Source organism: Homo sapiens, chromosome 10 (assembly GCF_000001405.40).
Source record: "Homo sapiens chromosome 10, GRCh38.p14 Primary Assembly".
NCBI classification, from domain to species: domain Eukaryota; kingdom Metazoa; phylum Chordata; class Mammalia; order Primates; family Hominidae; genus Homo; species Homo sapiens.
The window spans coordinates 98,056,846-98,066,355 of record NC_000010.11 but is presented as its reverse complement, the minus strand read 5'-3'; positions in this window follow the sequence as shown (position 1 = coordinate 98,066,355).

The window sequence follows — 9,510 nt, the reverse complement described above, 5'->3', positions numbered from 1 at the left end:
TGAGATTTTGAAAGCATTCTGCAAGGATTAAAGAACTGCCACCGCTCTTTCAAACACTCCCTAGAACAGAGTTAAACTCTGTGCTGTGTTTAAAGAAAACCTATAGGTTAGATAACTAAGCCATTCGGCTCACACCAATTGTCCCAATTGCCACAACATTGGCAATGTCCTGCCAAGGAATGACTCAACGTTGTCAAGAATTCAGGGGCAGCTAAAAAAATTAAGAGAGGTCTACCCGCCAACCAAGGATGATTCACCCAATCTGGAAAAGAACATACTGGCAATAAAAGTCAATGGGCTAAAGGCACAGTGTTTGTGAAGCCATACTCTCCCCACCACCACTGAATCTGAATACCTTGATACTTTCTACAACCAGGGTACCAGATGAGTCCTGAGACCACCATGAGTCTGTGCCTACACCTGGGCTCTCCTTTTGTGTGAGGATAATGTGAAAGAGCCACCTTCCTCAGGCAGCTTCATAGAATAGAAAACTCTCAGGTTTGGGGATCAGACAGATCTGGGTTGAAGTCTTGGCTCTACCACTTATTTAATCTGTGACTGTGGGCAAGCCTTAGTCTCCACATCTGTAAAATAGGAATGATATCAACCTTCCAGTTGGCTGTGATGACTTCATAATGTTGACTGTGTACTCACGTAGCATCAGACCCTGGGGGCATAGCAGGGGACCAGATACACAGTCCCCATCATCATACAGCTCTAATTATTTAAGTTGTATAACCGTGTATGCAAAGCAATCATCCCCCATGAAAATGATAGTTATCAGTTATGATGGAGACCTAGAGTTAAGGAATTCCAAAGCCTTACAGCTCTTCGGGCAGGGGGAATGACTGGAGGTGAGGAATCATAGGAGAAGGCCCAGAGGACCTGGGGAAGTAGGCAGAGCTGAAGTTCTCCCTCAGGTGAAAAAATTGTTTGTTGATAAACAATTAGTGAGTGCTGACCCTTAAGTAAGGAAAAGTCTTCATCAAGCCTTACTTGGGGTCATCGGAAGCTTCTCAACCTTAAAACCATTCTGAGTGGTAGATTTTTGTCCTCATTTCACTGATGAGGGAGCCCCGGCACAGAGAGGTTAAGTGCTTTGCTTAAGGTCACACAACTTGTAAGTGATGGAGCTGGAATCAGTACTTGAGTCTGTCTAATGCCAAATCCTATGCTATTAATCCTTGCACCATAGCACCTACTTCTATAGCTCCTGGAAAGGGATGTGAATTTCTCAAGCTCTAAAAAAGGGAGCCCTTTTCCTGAGGTCCACATAGCTGCTGGAGACACTGAGCCCAAAGATTACCCTGAACAAGAGCCACTCTTTATTCATTCAACAAATAGCTATCAGGTGCCAGGCACTGTTTGGCTTTGGGAATACAGCACTGACCAGGATAGACGAAAATCCTGCTAATGCTCTCATGGAATGCTACCTTAGTAGGAAAGAGAGACAATAAACACAATAAATAAAAACATATGGTAGGTTAGATAGTGATAAGAGCCGGGGCAAATATACACAGGGAAGGAGGCGTGTATATTTCGTTGGACAGAAAGCTATAGTTTTTTTTCTTTTTCTTTTTTTGAGATGGAGTCTTGTTCTATCGCCCACGCTGGAGTACAGTGACGCAATCTCAGCTCACTGCAACCTCCGCCTCCCAGGTTCAAGTGATTCTCGTGCCTCAGCCTCCTGAGTAGCTGGGATTACAGGCATGCATGACCACACCCAGCTAATTTTTTTGTATTTTTAGTAAAGACAGAATTTCACTATGTTGGCCAGGCTGGTCTCAAACTCCTGGACTCAAGTGATCTGCTTACCCTGACCTCCCAAAGTGCTGGGATTATAGGAGTGAGCCACCACTGACAGCCAGAAAGTTGTAATTTTATATGGAGTAGCCAGGGGAGACTTCGTGGAAAACGGGATAGTGGGAGTGAGTTATGTGGCTATCTAGAAGACCAGAGAAAGAGCCAGAGTCCATTGAAAAAGGGTAGAATCTGTCTGTGGCTTGGTTTCAGACATCCCAATGCAGACAGGGTTATGGTGGCCATAAGAATGTGCCTGGCAGACCTCCAACTGCAGGCAGCAGAACTGACCAAGACTCTCAGTGCTGGACTCTGAAATCCATCACCTAGTTTGCACTGAAGCCATACTTCCTAGGCTCTGCTCCTCGCTGAAGACTAAGCACAACAGGAATACAAAAGCAGGTCCCTTCCTTGGAGACATCGGACTCCTCTGACAGCCAACTTTGGCTTGAGGACTCTACAATGGCCTTGCTGAGCCTTCCTCAAACTGCAGAGCGGCCAAGCATTCCCCTACTGGACCTGTCTTCTTCCTCTTCTTCCTCTTCTTCACTTGAGGTTGGACTTGCATTGCTTCTTCCAGCCTTTTATAGTTCCCTCCCCATTTTCTCTCTCATAGGTATGTCCCCCTAGTAAAATCCATGCTTCTTTAATCCCATCTTGGCATCTACTTCTTGGGAGACCCAGGCAAAGACACAGTGGAGGCAAAAGAAAGAGAGAGAAGGAAGGAAGGAAGGAAGAAAGAAAGGAAGGAAGGAAGGAGAGAGAGAGAAAAAGAAGGAAGGAAGGAAGGAAAGAAAGAAAGAGGGAGGGAGGAAAGAATGAAGGAAGGAAAGAAAGAAAGAAAGAAAGAAAGAAAGAAAGAAAGAAAGAAAGAAAGAAAGAAAGAAAGAGGGAGGGAGGAAAGAAGGAAGGAAGGAAGGAAAGAAAGAAAGAAAGAGGGAGGGAGGAAGGAAGGAAAGAAAGAAAGAAGAAAGAAAGAAAGAGAAAGAAAGAAAAGAAAGCGAGAAAGAGAAAGAAAGAAAGAAAGAAATGAAAGAAAGAAGAAAAAGCGAGAGAAAGAAAAAAAATTAAGAGGCTGGGCTTTTAAAAAAATTTTTCCTCCTTTTAATTGCTGAATAATCATTTCACAAGGCTTATGTATGAGAGCCTGGGTTTCTAGTAGGCCCTGCTCACTGAGCTAATCTTGAGTTATCTCGGATGGAAGAATCCCTGCTCTACAAATGCATCCATTTCTAAGCTTTTGTACTTTGTTTTCCTGATTTGTTTTTGTAATTTACTAGTGGAGTTCCTTTTAAGTAAGCGACAACAACAACAAAAGCTCCAGTGTGTCTCCACTAACCCAAGGGGGTGAAGGCATTCATCCACATCCTGACACACAGTGGAGGCCTTGATGACGGCTGCAAGGGGGGATTGCGATCAGATGGTGGTGGTAGCAGCAGCCAGCCCGGTGGGAGGCTGAGGAAGCCATTAAAGCTGGAGGCCATCCAAGGTAAGGAGTGGGGAGGGAGGAGCTGGGTGGCTGGGAGTATCTATCCCATCCTCCAGACCAGGGTTTCAGTGGTGTTGAGATGGCTGGGCTAATGTGTAATTGGTATTTCTGGGAGGGAGGGGAGAAGGGCAGGGGACACAGAAACCCTTTGCAGGGCTTAGCAAGGTCTGTCCTAGGCTCATTGACTTCAGTTTCCCTATTGGTTTTGAAGTCAAGTAAGTCATTTCCGGCTGTTCTGCAAACATCAGCTCCAATCGATAGCATCGGAATCGTTTCTTTGCCCCATTTGTTTTCAACAGCCTGCCACTGGTGGTCCCCATGCTGACTTCCTCCAGCAGCAGCTGTGCTCTCGGGGCTCCCTGTTGGTGTATGGCAGAGATCCCCAGCCAAGCAGCAATCACAAGTTCAGACCTTTAATCTCTTGCTCAGAGGGATAAGGCCCCGGGTTCACCTCCCTGAGCAGATTATAGGCACTTACTGTGCAAGCAGCAGCCAGCCTTCCTTTCTCTGGTCTGTCCTTGCTCTTAAGAAAGCATTCCTAATTTACATTCCCATCAATGTATAAGGGCTCCCTTTTCTCCGCATTCTTGCCAACACTTATCTTTTGTCTTTTTTGTTTAGCAGGACCTTCTCTCACTCACAGACACTCCCAAGGACTGTGTAAATCCCAGCAGCTGCAGAGGAGGCTAACAACTAGGTTTCTGGGAGGAAGAGACCCAGCAAGAAGCAAGGGGCCATACTTCTTCCCCTCATGTGAGAGCTCAGGATTAGATCTGCTCTAGGATAAGCCCTGCCACGGCCAGACCTCCCAAATCAAAGCACACCACTAGACTGCCTGGTCCTGCCCTCACCCAAACAGTACCAACAGGCTCTGATTATCAGTTTATCCATTTACACATATTTATTCGGCAAATCTTTTTGAGCCCCTACTGCATACCCAGCACTATTCCCCACAGAGCACACACGGCCCTGCCCCCAGTGACTCCACAGAACGACAGAGGAGAGGACCATGTAGACCCCTGATTGCCACCGCTCTTTAACCAAACTGAAATGATCAAGTCCTGGAAAACAGCATGGTGGGTGTGGGACCTGGGGAGGAGAGTCATCGGCTTTGCCACTTATTCCGCTTTCTTTTGAGTGTTAACCAAGCCTTACTATACAAGACAATAGATTTGAGCCATGGTAGGGATTATTCTATATGGAGGACCACTGATATACACGCGCGCACACACGCTCGTGCGCGCGCACACACACACCAGCCAAGGAAGAAAGTAATAAAAATAGAAACTAAATATATTCAGTGAGGGATGTGGGTGGAGGCGGGTAATTATCCCACTAGAAGATAAGTTCCACATGGGCAGGGAATTTAGACTGCTCTGTTCACTGCTATATCCCCAACTCCTGGCACAATGACTGGCACATAGCAGATGCTCAATAAATACTTGTTGAATGAATGAGTATTGAATAAATTGACGAAGGGGGTGGGTAATTTTAAAATTCAGATCAGAGGCTATAGTGTATTATTCATTAAAAACAGAAAGTAATGGTGAATGTACTTCTATTTATGGCTAAGTAAGAGTGGGGAGGAGATGCAGGAAGGAAAGTCATCAAGACAGTGAGAAGGAGACACTAAAATGGGAGAGCAAAGTGCACCAGCAATGGGGAAAGGTCCATATTCCTTTCCTGCTTCTCTGATCCATCTGTGTTCTCTGTTCACTGCATATGCTCTGCTACCCAAATGCCTGACAAAATCTGCCCTCAAAACAACCCAGATTATGAATATTTTGAGTTTCTGGATCCCTTGCATGGTAAGACTGCCCAGCCTTGAAGACTGATGAGCGCAGTGGAAAGGACACAGATGGAGCATCACCCAGTGCTCATTCAGTCCTCAAAACAGCACTACAGGGTAAATATTATCATCTCCACTATACTTATGGGGAAAATTGAGGCTCTGAGGGTTAAGGAAGCTGTCCAAGGCCACAAAATCAATAAGCATCCAAATCCCTAGTTATTCCAGGCCTGACTTGAAACCAAGTTCTAGTTTTAGCTCTGCCACTACCCATGTGACCCTGGCCAAGCCATTTTACTTACTTGGGCCTCAGTTTTCCCATCTGTAAAATGGGAAACTCACAGAATACCCACCCAGTATAGCCCCACTTCCAGATCTATCTTTCAATCCAAGCAGGCTCCCATCAGTCCTCTTTCTGCTGCCTGGATACCCCACATCTCTCTGCAGCTTGGACCCCCAGCCAGCAAACAGTGAGCCCAGCAATCCCAACATGGCCTTTCCCAATCCCTGCTCACCCAATTCCTAGAACTACTGCCCCACCATGAGTTTCCTCTTCTCCACACCCCTTCTTCACTGAAACTACTTCCTCTCTCCATCTTTTAAAACCCAACCAACTAGGAGCCCCTTCTCCCTCTAGAAGCCTCGCACCTCAGTGAGTGAAATGCCTGGCGGAAGGTGGGCCTCCTCAAGTGCTGGAGCTTTCTTTTGTGCCACCGTTAGAGCTGTTGGCCAAATAAGCAGATGCTCAGTTGAACCTACCACTCCAAAGAGTGGGAGGCGGGCAGAAAGGGACAATCTTAGAAACACGACATCGGAGGGCTAACTATTTTCTTTCTTCTTCACTCCTTTTTCTTGTACCCTGTGTCCCAGGACCTGGAGTTTGGACTTTTCAGAAGTGCAGTGCAGCATCCATTTATGACAGACACTTCAACTGTGTGGCAGGATGGGGTAGAGGGCAAGTGAAAACAGAGATGGGGAAACGGCAGCAAGTGGCTGGTAGAGGCCGGCGACGATTGATTGCCAGCGTTGGGAGCTGTCCAGGGCACCAGCGCAAATGTGTTGGCAAAACCGCTCAGTGTCTTGGTACATCTTTTCCTCCTGGGATTTGGGTCATGTTCTGGGCTGGAAGACAAAATGCCTTCTCTTGACTCTTTTTTTATTTTTTTGAGACCGAGTCTTGCTCTGTCACCCAGGCTGGAGTGCAGTGGTGCGATCTTGGCTCACTGCAACCTCCGCCTCCCAGGTTCAAGTGATTCTCCTGGCTTAGCCTGCCAATTAGCTGGTATTACAGGCATACACCACCATGCTGGCTAATTTTTGTATTTTTAATAGAGACAGGTTTCACCACGTTGGCCAGGCTGGTCTCGAACTCCTGACCTCATGATTCGCCCACCTCGGCCTCCCAAAGTGCTGGGATTACAGGTGTGAGTTACCATGCCCAGCCCCTTCTCTCGACTCCTCTGAGGGAAAACTAGGAATGAAGGGGATCTGGGCCTTGGAAAAGCAGGTGAAGAGATCTCTAATCACCAGCTCTAGCAGCCTCATAGGCTGTATATCACCCCAAGCAGCTGAGACTCTTAGAGATGCTCAACCAGTAATAATAACGGTGATGCCTCGTATTGGTCAATACTCAGTGTTTACAAGGCCTTCACACCCAAAGGCTCATTTGATCTACACGATAATTCTGTAAGAAAGTAGCGTATGAATAGTCTCCGCTTTACAAATGAGGAAACAGGCCACATTTACCATTCAAACTAGCAATACATAAATTCTGCCTTGGCCCAGGAACCTCCCTTCCTAGCAAGACCCTGGCATAGATATGTGCAGAAATGTGGCAGGGCCAAGGAAATGGTGATTTCCTCTTAGAGAGGCAATGTGGTGCAGTGGTTAAGCATGTGGATTTACTGAACCAACTGGGTTTGAATCCTGACACCACTAGTACTCACTGTGTGACCTTGGGCAAGTCGTTTGCTTCCTCTTCTCATGCCTCAATTCTCTTCTCTCTTAGGAAGGGGTTTTAGTAGTATTTATTTGATAGGTTGTTTGGGAGAATTAGATGCATTTAATGCTGGCAAAACACTTGGCACCATGCTACATTACTACATAAATGTTAGCAATCACTGCCATGACTAGCTGGGGTTTGAACTTATATCCCAGTATGCTAGACTGTGCAGGAATACTCCTTCTCTGTACAAAAGGAAACCATCTGTTCTTCTTAACATCCAAACTCAGGTGTAAGAACATGATGTTCCTATGGGATGCAAGGCCACCCCACATCAAATGAAGGATGAGAGAGTAAGAGAGGGAGCTTGTCCCAATGCCTAGAGTGAAGCTGGTCTAAGCCTCCTCCCCAAGGCTCCTTAAGCGTGGGGAGTAATCCACGTGTGACTGCTTCGTGGAGAAATGAAGATGGGGAAGAGATAATGGCATCGTCTGCTGCTGGACCATTTCTTCATTATCCTCAGGGGTGAGTGAAGAAGTGAGGTGACCAGGATCAGACACTGTCATCTGACAAGGGACCCCTAACTGCCCTCAGCCTCTTCACCAATACTCCGCAGTGGCAAACAAGAGTCCTCGAATTAGCCTGTTCTGTTAATCATATGGCTGGGGGTTGGGTAGGGGGAAAAGAACTTGGTCTCTAACTCAGATCCTCCAGTTCTTGTCCTGACTGCCCATGTGCTAATTCTGCTCTGCACATAAACTCTGCTGGCCACTGTCCCAAGCATTGCTGAACCCTTTTCACTGTTGACAAAGTAAGGGTCATAATTCTAAATGAACTCACAGGCTTGTTTGGAATTACTCAGGAATGGCATGAAAGGCCTTTGCAAATGGGCGGAACTATTCAGAGGGAATGAATAGCTAGTCCAGGCTCATGTGCAGTGCTTTAGAAACAAGCAAACTGACAAGGTAGGACCTTGAATTCCTCCATGCTAGAGAAAGACTCAAGGGAAATGAACCCAGATATGGAATTGTCCCAGATGGTCACAGTATTGACTATTCATTCTGAGGGACTTCCCATACCCAGATTTAACAACAATGTTGGGAAACTATAGCTTTCCTATATTTTCATTATCCCAGGGCCATGTTTCCTGACCTTTTAGGGAAGACGGACCCCTTTGAAAATATAATTAAAGCTATCAATTCTCTCACCCGGAGAACATGTTGTGTGTGAATATTCACAACACTTTGCAAACAGTTTTGAAAGCATCACAGAGCTCCCTGAAGACTGTCCCTGGATCTCTGACTCAGGGCACATCTTTGGGCTTGGTGGGTATATAAAATAATGAGACTTTCCTACACTGTCTAAGCATCCTGTAAGTAATAATAATTTTGTATGTTTATTGAGTACTTCATACTTTGCAAAATGTTTTCCATCCCATATCCTCACAATTCTTATAGCCATTCTGTTCATGATGAAATGAGGCTCAGAGGAGTTAAGTGACTTTTGTCCAAAGTCACACAGTTAATAATGATGGCTACAGTTTATGACAACTACCTGCCAAGCATTTTAGATATGTTAAATCTAATTTCCTGGCAGTACCATGAGGTAGACATTATTACTTCCAGTCTGCAGGTGGGGAAACTAAGGCTTGGAAAAGCTAAGTAACTTCCCCAAGATCACACAGTCACAAGTGTCAGTCCTGGGATTTGAACCCAGGACTGCCTTAGTGCAAAGCCCATCCTGGCTTGGAATATAAAAAAAGGTATTTTTGTAATAACAGGCTGATCGGTTAACAAAGGAAAGGATTCTGTTTAAAAGGAGAATTTGGATAATGCCAGCATTTCTCCAGCACGGAGCAGGGGGAAATGTATATTTAGATGCATCTAACTGTCATAACAGCCTATCCAGATCCAAGTCTCCCAACCTGGCCAAACCACCCCAGGACGCATGCAGCTGGCCCCAGTAACAGCAAGGTCTTGGCATATCAGCCATATTTGCAATAAAAGTCCTGGTCCATCTCAGAGCATGCCCACTTTCACTCCTTGATTTTTCTAGCACTTACTTGGCACCTGCTCTCTTGGATTGTCTCCCACTTCGATCCCATGCCCACCTCTTGGACCTAAGACCAACAGAACTTTATTTCATTTGGAGCCCTGGCCTCTCTATCAAATGCTCTTTGGGCTCATCTCTGATCCTGCTCTTGCCCTCTCTGGGATCCCCTGTCCCTCTCCCAACACCTATTCAATTGATCTACATCCTCTAGCCAGATGTGCACTATCTCCCCTTGAGTTGGGGTCAGACAATAGTTCTCAGAGCAAATTAATATGTGGTATTCTGGTTTGACAACTGACCTCTTGTGAAGTTGGTTTGGTTGACATGAATCAGATATGAACTGATTGGACTCAGTTCAACTATAAATCTGTGTACCAGGTCTCCTCATGTAATCATTCCCATGCGTTTACTATTTCAGTCTGAATGCCAAGGAGATAT